Source organism: Homo sapiens, chromosome 22 (assembly GCF_000001405.40).
Source record: "Homo sapiens chromosome 22, GRCh38.p14 Primary Assembly".
Taxonomy (NCBI): domain Eukaryota; kingdom Metazoa; phylum Chordata; class Mammalia; order Primates; family Hominidae; genus Homo; species Homo sapiens.
The window spans coordinates 36,077,708-36,095,962 of NC_000022.11; the positions used below are offsets into that span (position 1 = coordinate 36,077,708).

General features: G+C 47.1%; 1 annotated feature.

Annotated features, from left to right (window-relative positions):
- Positions 7,693-8,419: an enhancer, noted in NCBI's record as "H3K27ac-H3K4me1 hESC enhancer chr22:36481448-36482174 (GRCh37/hg19 assembly coordinates)". NCBI's record gives its function as "activates a minimal SCP1, AML or CMV promoter by ChIP-STARR-seq in primed H9 embryonic stem cells {active_cell/tissue: H9 hESC(primed)}" and the evidence as "EXISTENCE:reporter gene assay evidence [ECO:0000049][PMID:30033119]".

Below are 18,255 nucleotides of genomic sequence, written 5' to 3' on the forward strand. Positions count from 1 at the left end.
ATCGTGATCAACCACCCTCTCCCTAATGGGAAATTTACTATGGGCCACTTTTCTATCCATTGTCTCATTTGACAGTAGATTTGAAAGTTAGGAGGGAGAGGCTAGGCGCGGTGGCTCATGCCTGTAATCCCAGCACTTTGGGAGGCTGAGGCAGGCAGATCATGAGGTCAGGAGTTAGAGACCAGCCTGGCCAACATAGTGAAACCCTGTCTCTACTAAAAGTACAAAAAATTAGCTGGGCGTGGTGGCGGGCACCTGTAATCCCAGCTACTCAGGAGGCTGAGGCAGGAAAATTGCTTGAACCCAGGATGTGGAGATTGCAGTGAGCCGAGATCGCACCATTGCACTCCAGCTTGGGCGATAGGAGTGAGACTCCATCTCAAAAAAAAAAAAAAAAGAAAAAAGAAGTTAGGAGGGAGCATTAACAATAAAAGAACTATGACTGGACACAGTGGCTCATGCCTGTAATCCCAGCACTTTGGGAGGCCAAGGTGGGTGGATCACTTGAGGTCAGGAGTTTGAGACCAGCCTGGCCAACATTGTGAAACCTTGTCTCTACTAAAAATACAAAAATTATCCGGGTGTGGTGGTGCGTTCCTGTAATTCCAGCTACTTGGGAGGCTGAGGCACGAGAATCACTGCCAGGAGGTGGAGGTTGCAGTAAGCCAAGATCCAGCCAATGCACTTCAGCCTGGGCGACAGAGCAAGACTCTGTCTCAAAAAAACAAAACAAAACAAAACAAAAATGAGCATTATTATCCTTACAGATAATAATTTGAGCTAAGAGAGATTAATTGACTAGCCCAAGGGCATACAGCTAGTTGTGGTCTGGCTTGAATTTGAACACAGTTCTGCCTACCTTCAAATTTAGCACTCGTCCTAAAATTCTATAGTCAATTCTTATTTTCAGAAGTAATTTTTCTCCTCATAATTTTCCCTAATTCTTTGGTCCTCCAAGGCCTTTCAAGCCAGTTCCCAGCTCCTGATAATAGTGAATACCTGAAACAGCTAGCTTATTATTCTCCCGTGGGTGTTTTAATTTTCAAAATGTGGAAAGACCAAGGCATGAAGCTTTGAAGGAGAAATTTCATCCACTGGCTGTGGACATGAGGAACTTGGAGTTCCTGGGATCTCAACCCCAGTACCTACACTTATGGGAAACCATCACCCTCTCGGGAAGGCTTCCCTTGTCTAGAAACTTTTTTTGAGGAAATCCAAGAATGTCTTAATAGTAGAGGATGCAGTATGAACACGCCTTTGGAACTCTATCTGACTCACAGGATCCCACAATTTTAGTACAGCCTCTTCCAAGCTGAACCTCTCACCAAACCAGGTTAGGAATTGCGGGTTAGTTATTTGGAAGGAAAGGTGGTAGAGAAGGACCAGGGGAATTAATATTCATTGAACATATGACAGCGATGGCAAATAGAGTTTCTCTGCATCATGCATTGATAAGCACACAGAGTTAGCATCCATGCTCAATTGGTAATGTCTGCCCTTGGTGCAGGACAGCATCCAAGCTCACCTGGTAATGTCTGCCCTGGGTGCAGGAGGGGGCCTGGCAGGATGGTTGCCAGCTCTCCATCTTCTCTGGCTATGAGCCAGGCACTTTACACCATTAACCCCAAGTTCTCACAATAACCTCTGAGGTGGGAGTTTCTTTTCTTATTTTCTGGAGGAGGAAACTGAGGTTTAAAGAGGATGTTACTTGCCCCTTGTAAAAGGTACTAGGTGGACAAGTCTTTAATTTAAAAATAAATAAATAAGCAACATATCACTGCCACAAAAGCAGCAATATTGCTACAATTTACTGAGGGCTTTCTACATGCAAGACACTATTTTTTTGTTGTTTTGTTTTTTTTTTGAGATGGAGTCTCACTCTGTCACCAGGCTGGAGTGCAGTGGCGCGATCTTGGCTCACCGCTTCCCAGATTCAAGGGATTCTCCTGCCTCAGCCTCCCGAGTAGCTGGGACTACAGGCGTGTGCCACCATGCCCAACTAATTTTTGTATTTTTAGTAGAGACGGGGTTTCACCATGTTAGCTAGGATGGTCTCGATCTCTTGACCTCGTGATCCGCCCGCCTCGGCCTCCCAAAGTGCTGGGATTACAGTCATGAGCCACCGCGCCCAGCCTTTTTTAAAAAAATTTTATTTTACTTTAAGTTCTGGGATACATGTGCAGAACCTGCAGGTTTGTTACAGAGGTAAACACATGTGTCATGGTGGTTTGCTGCACCTGTCAACCCGTCACCTAGGCATTAAGCCCCACACACATTTGCTATTTTTCCTGATGCTCTCCCTTCCCTCACCCCACCGACAGGCCCTGGTGTGTATTGTTCCCTGCCCTGTGTCCATGTGTTTTTATTGCTCTGCTCCCACTTATGAGTGAGAACATGCGGTGTTTGGTTTTCTGTTCCTGTGTTAGTTTGCTGAGGATGATGGCTTCCAGCTTCATCCATGTCCCTGCAAAGGACATGATCTCATTCCTTTTTATGGCTTCATAGTATTCCATGTTGTATACGTAGCACATTTTCTTTACCCAGTCTACCACTGATGGGCATTTAGGTTGATTTCATGTCTTTGCTATTGTGAATAGTGCTGCAATAAACATATGTGTGCATATATCTTTATAACAGAATGATTTATATCCCTTTAGGTATATACCCAGTAATGAGATTGCTGGGTCAGGTGGAATTTCTGGTTCTAGATCCTTGAGGAATCACCACACTGTCTTCCACAATAGTTGAGAAATAATGTACATTCCCACCAACAGTGTAAAAGCATTTCTATTTCTCCACAGCCTTGCCAGCATCTGTTGTTTCTTGACTTTCTAATAATCACCATTCTCATTGGTGTGAGATGGTGTCTCACTGTGGTTTTGATTTGCATTTCTCTAATGATCAGTGATATTCAGCTTTTCTTCTTTTCTTTCTTTCTGTTTTTTTTTTTTTTTTAAATGGAGTCTTGCTCTTGTTACCCAGGCTGGAGTGCAATGGGGAGATTTCGGCTCACTGCAACCTCTGCCTCCTGGGTTCAAGTGATTCTCCTGCCTCAGTCTCCCGAATAGTTGGGATTACGGGTGCCTGCCACCATGCCCAAGCTAATTTTTTGTAGTTTTAGTAGAGACAGTGTTTCACCATGTTGACCAGGCTGGTCTCAAACTCCTGACCTCAGGTGATCCACCCGCCTCAGCCTCCCAAACTGCTGGGATTACAGGCATGAGCCACCGTGCCTGGCCCCACTTTTTTTCATGTTTCTTGGCCGCATAAATAAGACCCTGTATTAAGCCTGTTGTATGTATTATCTCCATTCATTTCCCAGAAGCTTGGTGAAGTAATTTACCATTTTACAGACCACGCGGAAACAGAAGAGCCAAGTGTCGTGTTCAATGTCACTGGTGCATCAGAAGCAGAGCTGGGGTGAAAGCCAGATGCAGCCAGCTCTAGGGCCTGGACTTCTGTTCCTTCCCACTGGTTTGTTTTCATCCTGAGTCATTGCTTGGTAGGGGAGGATTCTGAGAAAGCAATGAGGTAAACTATGGCAATACTGACTTACGCACTTCACATAAATCCCTTTGTGAGGAACATGTCATGGGGCTCCACACATTGGGCTATGAAGAGCGGGGTTGGCCTGTCCCTTTGTGGCAGCGGCCCCTCTTAGGCCTCTTCAGCACTCTGTCCCTGGGGGCCAGCCCATCCAGCCCTGGCCTTTCCTTCTCCTCTGGGTGAGTCAGAACTCTTTTTATTTTATTTTATTTTTTTTTTTTGAGATGGAGTCTTGCTCTGTCACCCAGGCTGGAATGCAGTGGCACCATCTCAGCTCACTGCAACCTCCATCTCCTGGGTTCAAGCAATTCTTCTGCCTCAGCCTCCCAAATAGCCGGGATTACAGGCACGTGCCACCATGCCCAGATAATTTTTTGTATTTTTAGTAGAGAAGGGGTTTCACCATGTTGGCCAGGTGGGTCTTGAACTCCTGACCTCAAGTGATCCGCCCACCTTGGCCTCCCAAAGTGCTGGGATTACAGGTGTGAGCCACTGCACCCAGCCTGAGTCAGAACTTTGTACATGAGAAGGAAGTCTTGGGAGAAATCCACAGTTGTTTTGTATCCAGAACGTGAGGCAGCTTGGTGCTGTGATGAGAGTGTTCCTTGCCACTGCTCCTGGTTGAGCCACCTTGAGCCAATGTAGGTTTCTTCATCTGAAAAGTGAGAGGGATGGCCTAAGTGACTTCTAAGTGACTGAGCTGCTCTAAATGTGTGTGAGATGCCCGTGTCTGTGGTCAGTCTCTGTAGTCTTTCTCAGACCTTGCTTCATTCTCATCCTCTTTCTCTCAGCTAATCAGTTGTTCCAGTATCTTACTATAAAAATTTTCTTTTTTTTTTGAGAGAGTCTTGGTCTGTTGCTCAGGCTGGAGTGCAATGGTGCGATCTTGGCTCACAACAACATCCGCCTCCCAGGTCCAAGCGATTTGCCTGTCTCAGCCTCCCGAGTAGCTGGGATTACAGGCACCCACCACCATGCCTGGCTAATTTTTGTGTTTTTAGTAGAGATGGGGTTTTGCCATGTTGGTCAGGCCGGTCTCGAACTCTTGACCTCAGGTGATCTGCCCACATCGGCCTCCCAAAGTGCTGGGATTACAGGTGTGAGCCACCATGCCCATCCTAAAAATTTTCTTTTCTTTTCTTTTTTTTGAGATGGAGTTTCGCTCCTGTCGCCCAGGCTGGAGTGCAATGGCACGGTCTCGGCTCACTGTAGCCTCTGCCTCCTGGGTTCAAGTGATTCTCCTGCCTCAGCCTGCCGAGTAGCTGGGATTACAGGCATGCGCCACCACACCTAGCTAATTTTGTATTTTTAGTAGAGACGGGGTTTCTCCATGTTGGTCAGGCTGGCCTCAAACTCCCGACCTCAGGTGATCCGCCTGCCTTGGCCTCCCAAAGTGCTGGGATTACAGGCATGAGCCACCGAGACTGGCCAAAAATTTTCAAACAAGCAGCAAAGTTGAATGAATGTCCCAGGAAGCACGCACATGCCCCCCCGTCCAGCTAGATTCCATCTGGCTTTCTCTCAGCTTGTTGCCCTGGTAGTCACTAAGGCAGAAAGGCCCCAAACATATTTCCCCTTGAGGACAGTCAGGGTGGAATTCAGTCAGAACGCACCTTCTCCCTCCCACAGCTCACATCCCTCATGCATGCCCCATGCCCTAATGCCTTTCTTTCTTTCTTTTTGTTTTTTAAACAGAGTCTCGCTCTGTCGCCCAGGCTGGAGTGCAGTGGCGTGATCTCAGCTCACTGCAACCTCCACCTCCCGGGTTCAAGTGATTCTCCTGCCTCAGTCTCCCGAATAGCTGGGATTACAGGTGCGTGCCACCACACCCAGCTAATTTTTTGTATTTTCAGTAAAGACAGGGTTTCACCATGTTGGCCAAGTTGGTTTTGAATTCCTGACCTCAGGTGATCCACCCGCCTTGGCCTTCCAAAGTGCTGTGATTACAGGCGTGAGCCGCTGCACCTGGCCGCCCTGATGTCTTTCTCTCTGTCTGTAGCCATCTCTCCAGCCATACGCATGCCCATCCCCTGCTGCGATGACCCTGGGCCAGACCTGCGATGCCCTGATCACAAGATATCAGGGGAAGGTGGCTTGTTGGAGTTGGGTGGTCCAGGGCACTCAAGTATCTCAAGAGGCCACTCTGTAGCAGGCACCATTATTTGTGTAACATTTTTTCTCTCGGAGACACGCAAGTCATACCTGGTTGTTGTAGAAACTTTGAAAATTGTAGAAAAACCTAATGAACAATTGGAAATCATCCATGAGCACTGCCAAGACAGCAGTAGCTAGGATTTATTGAGTACTTACTATACATTGGATATTGTGCTTGTTACATGATTTCCCCAGCAACCACACTCAGTAGGTAGATAATTATCATTATAATCTCCAATTTGGGCCGGACTCGGTAGCTCACGCCTGTAATCCCAACACTTTGGGAGGCCGAGGTGGGTGGATCACCTGAGGTCGGCAGTTCGAGACCAGCCTGACCAACATGGAGAAACCCCGTCTCTACTAAACACACAAAATTTGCCGGGCATGGTGGCGCATGCCTGTCATCCCAGCTACTCGGGAGGCTGAGGTAGGAGAATCGCTTGAACCCGGGAGGCAGAGGTTGCGGTGAACAGAGATCGCACCATTGCACTCCAGCCTGGGCAACAAGAGCGAAACTCCATCTCAAAAAATAAATAAATAAATAAAATAATCTCCAATTTGCAGTTGAGGAAATGAAGGCCTGGAGAAGTTAGGTGATTTCTCACGTCCACACAGCTGGGAAGGGGTGGAGCCAGGCTTCACACCCACCTGGTTCTAGCGGATGCCTTTAGTCACCATTCACCACTTCCCTGATGCCTGTCACACATGTTTTAGATATTTTCTGTGCAGTAACTTTTTTTTTTAGCTGGAGTTTCGCTCTTGTTGCCCCCAGGCTGGAGTGCAGTGGTGCAATCTTGGCTCACTGCAACCTCCGCTCACTTCAACCTCCGCTCACTTCAAGTGATTTTCCTGCCTCAGCCTCCCAAGTAGCTGAGATTACAAGCATGAGCCAGCTCGCTTGGCTAATTTTTGTATTTTTAGTAGAGATGGGGTTTCACCATGTTGGTGAGGCTGGTCTCGAACTCCTGACCTCAAGTGATCCTCTTGGCTTGGCCTCCCAAAGTGCTGGGATTACAGGCGTGAGCCACCACACCCTGCCAGCAATTATGTTATTTTATAACAACCTACTTCTTTCACTTACCCATTTCTGGGACCAGGTGGGGTGGTTCATGCCTACAATCCCAGCACTTTGGGAGGCCAAGGCGGGTGGATCGCTGGAGCCCAGGAGTTCAAGACCAGTCCGGGCAACATGGCGAGACCTTAATCAATCAATCAATCAATAGCAGGGCATGGTGGTGTGTACCTGTAGTCTACCTATAGTCTACCCAGGAGGCTGAGGTGGGAGGATGGCTTGAGCCTGGGGAGGTGGAGGCAATATTTAACCATTTCTATTTGCATGTTAATCTCCCCAAATAACCCTATGAAATAGTTATTATTATTTACATTTACAGGTGAGAAAACTGAAGGCTACAGAATTAAAAGACACGAAAACAAAGCTCAAAGAGTGAAATGACTTGCCCAAGGGCATGGGAAGCAGTGAGGGTGGGTTCAAAGGTCAGAAAAAGCTGACGCCCCACCCCCTCCACCCCTGCCTTTCATTCTCGAGGTGGAGGCCATCGTGTGCATAGGGTAGAGGAAGGCAATAACAAATAATTTTCTTCAGCCTTCCCTAAATTAGATCCCGTGTAGCTGGCAACTGAGGCCTGGCCTGCTTGCTTTCTCCTCCTCTCTGGAAGCCAGGGCTACTTTGTATAGGGTCTGCATGAAGCTGTCCCCTTCCAGCAGGGACACCTGCCTGTCTTGAGATGGGGAGTGGTCACTTCCCAGCAGAGACCCTGTGCTCAGCCCGTGGAGGATAAGAGGGTGCAGGGAAGGAATTCCAGAGCTCTCCAGGCCTGGGGAAGCGCACGGCTGGACACCCCTGCTTGCCCATGACCTTGTACAAATCCTTCCTTTCTCTGAGTTTCAATTTTCTTTCTTTTCTTTTCTTTTCTTTTTTTTTTTTTTGAGATGGAGTCTCGCTCTGTCGCCAGGCTGGAGCGCAGTGGCGATCTTGGCTCACTGCAACCTCCGACTCCCAGGTTCAAGCGATTCTCATGCCTCAGCCTCCTGAGTAGCTGGGATTACAGGCACGTGCCACCACGTACAGCTAATTTTTGTATTTTTAGTAGAAACAGGGTTTCACCGTGTTGGCCAGGATGGTCTCAATCTCCTGACTTCATGATCCGCCTGCCTTGGCCTCCCAAAGTGCTGGGATTACAGGCGTGAGCTATGGCGCCCGGCCAGAGTTTCAGTTTTCTGAACTGACTCCACGGCTGTTCTGCGGTTGGCCCCAGTCCCTGCTGCTCCCCAGAACTCCTCTGTTTCCCCAACAGGGTTGGGTGTGTGGTACCAAGCAAAGGGCACCGTGCCCGTGGAGCCAGGATGTACAGCAGCCCCAGCAACATCTCCAGGTCTAGGGCAAACAGTGTGTGTCTGAGAAGAGGGAAGACATCAACTGGTGAGAGTCCCAGTGACCATGACCTCTTTCCCTTCTCTTACCAGTCTCCAAAACACAACAAAGGAAGGGTGCATGAATTTGTAGCTAACATTTAGTGGACAGGTGGCAGGCGCAGCCCGAGGTAATTTCCATCTATTTACTCATTTAACCCTATCAATAACCTTATGAGGCAGGTACTATTGTGCCCACTTGACAGGTGAGGAAACTGAGGCTCAGGGAGGTGAAGTCACACAGCTAGGGGGTAGCGGTGCTGGCATCCAAACCCAAGCGTGTGGCCACAGGGCTCAAATGCTTAACCACTGACCCATACTGCCTCTCAGATCCCAGGGTGATGGTGCAGGCCGCCTCACCTTACGGAATCTGAGTCTGAGGCCCAGGGAGGGAGGGCAACTCACAGCCACACGGGGAATGAGAATGGAGCCTGGTCTTCAGGCCCTGGAGCTTCTGGGTCAGATACCAGCCAACCTTATTACCCCTCCCCAGGGAATGTGACCACGCCTCCCCAGGGAATGTGACCACGCCCATTGGCTTTCTTCTTCCCCTTGACTCAGGAAGTGAGGGGAAGGGAGGTGCCCATGTTCTGTGGGAATGTTTTTGTTTGTTTGTTTGTTTGTTTTTGTTTTTGTTTTTGAGACGGAGTCTTGCTCTGTCACCCAGGCTGGAGTGCAGTGGCGCGATCTCGGCTCACTGCAACCTCCGCCTCCCAGGTTCAAGCAATTCTCCTGCCTCAGCCTCCTGAGTAGCTGGAATTACAGGTGCCCGCCACCACGCCCAGCTAATTTTTTGTATTTTTAGAAGAGACGGGGTTTCACCATGTTGAGCAGGCTGGTCTCAAACTCCTGACCTCATGATCTGCCCGCCTTGTCCTCTCAAAGTGCTGGGATTACAGATGTGAGCCACCGTGCCCGGCCGGGAATCATTTAAGGTTGAACCCGGAGACCTTCCGCTAGCATCAGACATGTGTACAGTATCTCCCTAGCCTGTGGCGGCAAGCAAACATCCCTCCCTCTTCCAGCTGTCTGTATGCTGTATCTGCCATGTAACAGGCAAGAGGCAGGTTGTTCTTGGGGGATCCCAAGTCTTGGTGAAGGGCGGGTGTTCTAATACATTAGATAACCCAATCATGCAGATTCCCTTGGTAACCAATGTACACACAGGAATGAGTAAGAATTATCTATCACAGCAAGGCAGGGTGGCTCACACCTGTAATCCCAGCAATCTGGGAGGCCGAGGCGGGTGGATCACCTGAGATCAGGATTTCAAGATCAGCCTGGCCAACATGATGCAACCCCGTCACTACTAAAAAAATACAAAAAATTAGCTGGGCATAGTGGCAAGCGCTGTAATCCCAGCTACTTGGGAGGCTGAGGTAGGAGAATCACTTGAACCCAGGAGGCAGAAGTTGCAGTGAGCCGAGATCGTGCCATTGCACTCCAGCCTGGGCAACAAGAGTGAAACTCCGTCTCAGAAAAAAAAATAATAATAATTATCTATCACAGCCATGGCTGGGAACCACAGTGTTGAACTGGCTTCTGTGGTTTAACAAAATTATAAGATCTTTGACATTTTAAAATATGATTTTGAGGCCGGGCACGGTGGCTCACGTCTGTAATCCTAACACTTTGGGAGATGGAGGTGGGCAGATCACCTGAGGTCAGGAGTTTGAGACCAGCTTGGCCAACATGTTGAAACCCTGTCTCTACTAAAAAGGAAAAAATTAGCTGGGCATGGTGGTGGGTGCCTGTAATCCCAGCTACTTGGGAGGCTGAGGCAAGAGAATCGCTTGAACCTCAGAGGCTGAGGTTGCAGTGAGCAGAGATCACGTCATTGCACTCCAGCCTGGCCATTGCATTCCAGCCTGGGCAACAAGAGTGAAACTCTGTCTCAAAAAAAAAAAAGATAATTAACTAAATTATAGGATCCTTTAGTAGTAGTAGTAATAATTGGTAAAATAACATTATTTGCTATATAGTGCCATAAAGAACTACGTGCCAGGCACTGTTCTAAGGGTTCCTAAGTCATTATAATCCTTACAGTGACTCTACAAGGAAGGCATTCATTATTTTCATTTCACAGAGGAAATGGAAGAACAGAGAGGTGAAGTAACTTGCCGAAAATCACACAGCTGGGATGTGACAGAGCCTGTAAACCAACCGGAGTAGTCTGGCTCCAAAGTCAGGGCTCTTCACTACCAGGTGATCCTGTCTCCTCTTACATCATCCAGTTTCACTCTGTCACCCAGGCTGGAGTGCAGCGACATGATCTCGGCTCACTGCAACCTCTGCTTTTGGGTTCAAGCAATTCTCCCACCTTAGCCTCCCAAGTAGCTGGGACTACAGGCATGTGCCACCACACCCAGCTAATTTTTGTACTTTTAGTAGAGATGGGTTTTCACCATGTCGGCCAGGCTGGTCTGGAAATCCTGACCTCAAGTGATCCGCCCACCTCAGCCTCCCAAAGTTCTGGGATTACAGGCTTGAGCCACTGTGTCCAGCCTCATCCTTTATTATTCGGTCTTGCCTGACATTTACGTGCACTTTCCTAAATTCTATCTAATTTGATTATCAACATTTGGGAGGTAGACATGCTGAGAACAATGAATTAGTTTCCTCTTGTTGCGTCACTTTCAGTGTTATTTTGTGAGCTGCTCAGTCAGGTGTGGCCACAAGAGAGGCTCAGGAAGAGTTTATTATACTCACAAGCCTGGACATGGGAGGCATGGCACGCTGGCCAGGGCCACCTGAGGAGGCACCACTGTAGGCCCGGCCACAGGAGCAGGAGTGAGGAGAGAGCTTAGGACACAGCCTTGATTGGCTTTTCCGAGGAAAGGGGTGGACAAGGTAACAGTTTAGAATTGGCTGATTTAAATAATTTTTCTTTTTTTTTTTTTTGAGACAAAGTCTTTGTCACTCAGGTTGGAGTGCAGTGGCATAATCACTGCTCACTGTAGCCTCAACATCCTGGGCTCAAGCGGTCCTCCCACCTCAGCCTCCCAAGTAGCTGGGACTACAGGCACACACCACCAGCTAATTTATTTATTTATTTATTTATTTATTTATTTATTTATTTATTTTTCTTTTGTAGAGATGGGGTTTCGCCAATTTGCCCAGGCTGGCCTCAAACGCCTGAGCTCAAGCAATCCACCCACCTTGGCCTCTCAAAGTGCTAGGATTACAGGCGTGAGCCACCACGCCTGGCCTTTTTTTTTCTTTTTCTTTTTTTAAGTAGAGATGGGGTTCTCACTATGTTGCCCAGGCTGGTCTCGAATTCCTAGGCCCAAACGATCCACCCACCTTGGCCTCCCAAAGTGCTGGGATTACAGGTGTGAGCCACTGCACCCAACCTCATTTGAATACTCTTGATTCCTGGTACCTGTCTCTGGAAAGATTACAGCAGAGGACTATTGCCTCCCGGGTGTAAGGCCAGATAGGGAGGGTGTGGCTGTGGGTTGATTTGCACACCAAAGGCCTTCTCGAAGGCTGAGCTCTTTTCCTTCCTTCTTTCTTTCTCTTTCTTTCTTTCTTTTTATTATACTTTCAGTTCTGGGGTACATGTGCAGAACGTGCAGTTTTGTTACATAGGTATACACATGCCATGGTGGTTTGCTGCACCCATCAACCCGTCATCTACATTAGATATTTCTCCTTATGCTATCCCTCCCCTAGCCTCCAACCCCGGCTGAGCTCTTTTGTATCTGTTAAGAATTGGCTAACCCCATTTTCACGATATTGATTCTTCCTACCCATGAGCATGAAATGTTCTTCCATTTGTTTGTATCCTCTTTTATTTCCTTGAGCAGTGGTTTGTAGTTCTCCTTGAAGAGGTCCTTCACATCCCTTGTAAGTTGGATTCCCAGGTATTTTATTCTCTTTGAAGCAATTGTGAATGAGAGTTCACTCATGATTTGGCTCTCTGTTTGTCTGTTGTTGGTGTATAAGAATGCTTGTGATTTTTGTACATTGATTTTGTATCCTGAGACTTTGCTGAAGTTGCTTATCAGCTTAAGGAGATTTTGGGCTGAGACAATGGGGTTTTCTAGATATACAATCATGTCATCTGCAAACAGGGACAATTTGACTTCCTCTCTTCCTAATTGAATACCCTTTATTTCCTTCTCCTGCCTAATTGCCCTAGCCAGAACTTCCAACACTATGTTGAATAGGAGTGGTAAGAGAGGGCATCCCTGTCTTGTGCCAGTTTTCAAAGGGAATGCTTCCAGTTTTTGCCCATTCAGTATGATATTGGCTGTGGGTTTGTCATAGATAGCTCTTATTATTTTGAAATACGTCCCATCAATACCTAATTTATTGAGAGTCTTTAGCATGAAGGGTTGTTGAATTTTGTCAAAGGCCTTTTCTGCATCTATTGAGATAATCATGTGGTTTTTGTCTTTGGTTCTGTTTATATGCTGGATTACATTTATTGATTTGCGTATATTGAACCAGCCTTGCGTCCCAGGGATGAAGCCCACTTGATCATGGTGGATAAGCTTTTTGATGTGCTGCTGGAACAGGCAACCTACAAAATGGGAGAAAATTTTCACAACCTACTCATCTGACAAAGGGCTAATATCCAGAATCTACAATGAACTCAAACAAATTTACAAGAAAAAAACAAACAACCCCATCAAAAAGTGGGCGAAGGACATGAACAGACACTTCTCAAAAGAAGACATTTATGCAGCCAAAAAACACATGAAAAAATGCTCACCATCACTGGCCATCAGAGAAATGCAAATCAAAACCACAATGAGATACCATCTCACACCAGTTAGAATGGCAACCATTAAAAAGTAAGGAAACAACAGGTGCTGGAGAGGATGTGGAGAAATAGGAACACTTTTACACTGTTGGTGGGACTGTAAACTAGTTCAACCATTGTGGAAGTCAGTGTGGCGATTCCTCAGGGATCTAGAACTAGAAATACCATTTGACCCAGCCATCCCATTACTGGGTATATACCCAAAGGACTATAAATCATGCTGCTATAAAGACACATGCACACGTATGTTTATTGCGGCATTATTCACAATAGCAAAGACTTGGAACCAACCCAAATGTCCAACAATGATAGACTGGATTAAGAAAATGTGGGACATACACACCATGGAATACTATGCAGCCATAAAAAATGACGAGTTCATGTCCTTTGTAGGGACATGGATAAAATTGGAAATCATCATTCTCAGTAAACTATTGCAAGAACAAAAAACCAAACACCACATATTCTCACTCATAGGTGGGAATTGAACAATGAGAACACATGGACACAGGAAGGGGAACATCACACTCTGGGGACTATTGTGGGGTGGGGGGAGGGGGGAGGGATAGCACTGGGAGATAAACCTAATGCTAGATGACGAGTTAGTGGGTGCAGCGCACCAGCATGGCACATGTATACATATGTAACTAACCTGCACATTGTGCACATGTACCCTAAAACTTAAAGTATGATAATAATAAATTTTAAAAAAATTTATTTTGAAAAAAAAAAAAAAAAAAAAAAAGAATTGGCTAACCCCAGGAGAGGCAGTCACTCCCCAGCCAGGAAGGTTTCTGGATGCCAAAACATCATAAGACACAGAAAATAAAAAATATAGGGCTGGGCGCAGTGGCTCATGCCTATAATCCCAGCACTTTGGGAGGGCGAGGCGGGCAGATCACCTGAGGTCAGGAGTTGGAGACCAGCCTGGCTAACATGGTGAAACCCCGTCTCTACTAAAAATACAAAAATTATCCGGGCGTGGTGGCGGGCGCCTGTAGTCCCAGCTACTTAGGAGGCTGAGGCAGGAGAAACTCTTAAACCCAGGAGGCAGAGGTTGCAGTGAACTGAGATCACGCCACTGCACTTAAGCCTGGGCAACAGAGTGAGACTGTCTCAAAAAAAAAAAAAAGAAAGAAAAGAAAAAATATAAACTATACACATCACAAATTGCCCCCAAAACAACCAACAACAAACGTTGATCATCTCACAGTTTCTGTGGGACAGGAACCTGGGTGCAGATTGCAGGGTCCTCCAGCCCAGGGTGTCTCCCAGGGCAGCAATCATGAGGTTGCCTGGGACCACAGCCCCCTCAAAATCCATCTGAGCAGGATTCACTGTCAGGCTCACTCGAGTGGCAGGACTGAGTTGTTCCAGGGCTTTTGGCCTAAGGGCTTCGGTTCCCTGCCATCTGAGCCTTTCCACAAAGCAGCTCACACTATACAGCTGGCTTTCTCAAAGGGAGCGAGTGGGAGCAAGGGAGACGGCACCAGCAAGACAGAGTCACAGTCTCTTTTTATTTTAATTAATTTTTTTAATTTTTTTTTTTTTAGACAGTCTCCCTCTGTTGCCCAGGCTGGAGTGCAGTGGCACGATCTTGGCCCACTGTAACCTCTGCCTCCCAGGTTCAAGTGATTCTCCTGCCTCAGCCTCCCGAGTAGCTGGGATTACAGGCACCCGCCACAACGCCGGGATAATTTTTCTATTTTTAGTAGAGACGGGGTTTCACCATGTTGGCCAGACTGGTCTCCAACTCCTGACCTCAGGCGATCGCCTGCTTCGGCCTCCCAAAGTGCTGGGATTACAGGCGTGAGCCACCACGACCAGCCTATTAATTTTTTTTTTAATAGTGGCCAAATATATATAACACAAAATTTATTGTTTTAACCATTTTAAAGTGTACCATGAAAATGTACACCATTGTACATACACATTCACAGTGGCGGCACTGGGCATATTCAGAATGTTGCACAATCATAATTTCTATGCATTTCCAGAACTTCATCATGATCCCAAAAAGAAACTCTGTACCCATTAAACAATACCTCCCCATTCCCCCTTCTCCTCAGTCCCTGCTGGCCACTATTCTACTTTCTGTCTCCATGAATTTGACTACTCCAAGTATCTCATATGAGTGGAACCCTTCAATATTTGTCTCTTTGACTGGCTTATTTAGCTTCACATAAGGTCCTCAGGGTTTGTCCATATTGTAGCATATGTAAGAATTTACTTCTTTTTTTTTTTTTTTTTTTTATTTGACAGGGTGTTGCTCTGTCTGTCACCCAGACTGAAGTGCGGCAGTGCGATCTCTGCTCATTGCAGCCTGGACCTCCTGGGCTCCAGTCATCCTCCCACCTCAGCCTCCTGAGTAGCTGGGACTAGTCATCCTCCCACCTCAGCCTCCAGAGTAGCCAGGACTACAGGCATGTGCCACCTCGCCCAGCTAATTTTTGTAGAGAGGGGGTTTCACTGTGTTGGCTAGGCTGGTCTCCAACTCGTGACCTCAAGCGATCCATCCACGTCAGCCTTTCTTTCTTTTTTTTTTTTTTGAGACAGAGTCTTGCTCTGTCACCCAGGCTGGAGTGCAGTGAGTGGCGCAGTCTCGGCTCACTGCAAGCTCCACCTCCCGGGTTCACGCCATTCTCCTGCCTCAGCCTCTCCGAGTAGCTGGGACTACAGGCGCCCGCCACCACGCTCGGCTAATTTTTTTGTATTTTTAGTAGAGACGGGGTTTCACCATGGTTTCGATCTCCTGACCTCGTGATCCGCCCGCCTCGGCCTCCCAAAGTGCTGGGATTACAAGCATGAGCCACCGCGCCCGGCCTCACGTCAGCCTTTCAAAGTGCTGGGATTACAGGCCTGAGCCACTGTGCCCAGCCAGAATTTACTTCCTTTTTCTTTTTTTTTGAGACAGAGTTTTGCTCTTTCACCCAGGCTGGAGTGAATTGCCGTGATCTCGGCTAACTGCAACCTCTGCCTCCCAGGTTCAAGTGATTCGCCTGCCTCAGCCTCCTGAGTAGCTGGGATTACAGGCATGCACCACCACGCCCAGCTAATTTTTGTATTTTTTGCAGAGAGAGGGTTTCACCATGTTGGCCAGGCTGGTCTTGAACTCCTGACCTCAGGTAATCCACCAGCCTCGGCCTCCCAAAGTGCTGGGATTACAGGCATGAGCCACCGTGCCCTGCCAATTTACTTCCTTTTTAAGTCTAAACGATATTCCATTGTATGGATAGACCACATGTTTTTTAATCTATTCATCTGCGAGTGGACATTTGGCTTGTTTCCACCTTCTGGCTATTGTGAACAATGCTGCTATGAACATTGTGGCACAAATATCTGTCTGAGTCCCTGCTTTCAGCTCTTTTGGGTATATACCCAGAAGTGGAATTGGTAGATCATATGATAATTATATATTTATTCTTAATGGCTGGATGCGGTGGCTCACACCTGTAATCCTAGCACTTTGGGAGGCCAAGGTGGTTGGGTCAGGAGTTCGAGGCCAGCCTAGCCAACATGATGAAACTCCGTTTCTACTAAAAATACAAAAATTAGCTGGGCATGGTGGTGCACACCTGTAATCCCAGCTACTTGGGAGGCTGAGGCATGAGAATCGCTTGAACCCAGGAGGTGGAGGTTGCAGTGAGCTGAGATTGCACCCTTGCACTCCAGCCTGGGCAACAAGAGTGAGACTCTGTGTCAGAAAGCAAAACAAAATAAAAACAAAAATACAAAAAAAGAATGAGGTAATCTGTGTCTAGTGATAAGGAAGGGCCAGCAAGAATGTCAGACATATGTCAATATGTGGTAGATATATTGTTAAGGAAAACAAAGTGGGTTACAGAACAATATATTTTTGTAAAATAAAGCCGTATTTGTGTATATATAGATGTACTTATTCTATCTCTATTTAAGTCTCTATCTGTATCTGTATCCAGCTCTAGTATGTATCTATCTCTATCCATCCATTCCTCCATCTTTGTAGAAGGATAAGATAGTAGACATTGCTTATCCAGAAACATATATTTCCACTTTATTTATTTATTTATTTATTTATTTTGAGACGGAGTCTCACTCTGTTGCCCAGGCTGGAGTGCAGTGGCACGATCTCGGCTCACTGCAAGCCCTGCCTCCCGGGTTCACGCCATTCTCCTGCCTCAGCCTCCTGAGTAGCTGGGACGACAGGCTCCTGCCACCAGGCCTGGCTAATTTTTTGTATTTTTAGTAGAGACAGGGTTTCACCGTGTTAGCCAGGATGGTCTCCATCTCCTGACCTCGTGATCTGCCCTCCTCGGCCTCCCAAAGTGCTGGGATTACAGGCGTGAGCCACCGCGCCCAGCCATATTTCCACTTCTTCCGGAAACAGAACCCAGATCTTTTTTGGGGAACTATTTCTTCCCCACATTGTGTCCCCATGGTTTGGGTGGGACTCTGTTGGTCCCATTGCCCCAGGGCTGGAACATGGGTCTCAGGCCTGGCTAACAAGAGCACCAAGTTTTCTGAGCCACAGAGATTGGTTCTGGACAACCAAAGAGTGTCCAATCACAAGTCAGGCCTGAGTGGGTGTTACAGAGAAGGGCCTGTCTCCCTCCCGGAGCTCTGACTGCGAGCGCAGTTCCTCGATGATTGCGAAGTAATTAGAGTTGCTTCTTCCAACCGTGGTGCCTTCATGGGGCTGCAGATCAGCTTCTGACCTTGGATCTCTGGGATTTCAGGGTTCCAGACACAGAAGTGAGCAACCCTGCACCCCTCCAGTGAGGCCCACTGCCGCTTATGTTCACCAGAGCGGGGATCATTGCTTGAAACCAAAACACCATAATAGACACTCTCACTGATGAGAGAGAGCTGGGAGATTTTTAAGTTATATCTCTATGTTATTTATAATTCTTAATGAGTATATACTGCAGTTACAATTAAAAAATATGTTGTTAGCTGGGTGGGGTGGCTCACGCTTATAATCTCAGCACTTTGGGCAGCTGAGGTGGGCGAATCACCTGAGGTCAGGAGTTCGAGACCAGCTGGGCAAAAATGGTGAAACCCTGTCTCTACTAAAAATACAAAATTAGCTGGGCATGGTGGCATGCACCTGTAGTCCCAGCTACTCGGGAGGCTGAGGCAGGAGAATCGCTTGAAACTGGGAGGTGGTTGCAGTGAGCCGAGATCAAGCCACTGGGAGACAGAGACTTTGTTAAAAAAAGAAAATATATATGTATATATCTTTGTAAAGGCATTGGACTGGGAATGTCTTCTTTGCTTTATATAACCCTTTCATTTCCCATATTCCTGGCTTCCTTTAAATGGGTCTCTTTTGTTATAAGTTATGTAAAGTAAGTCAAGATAAACTATACATTTTT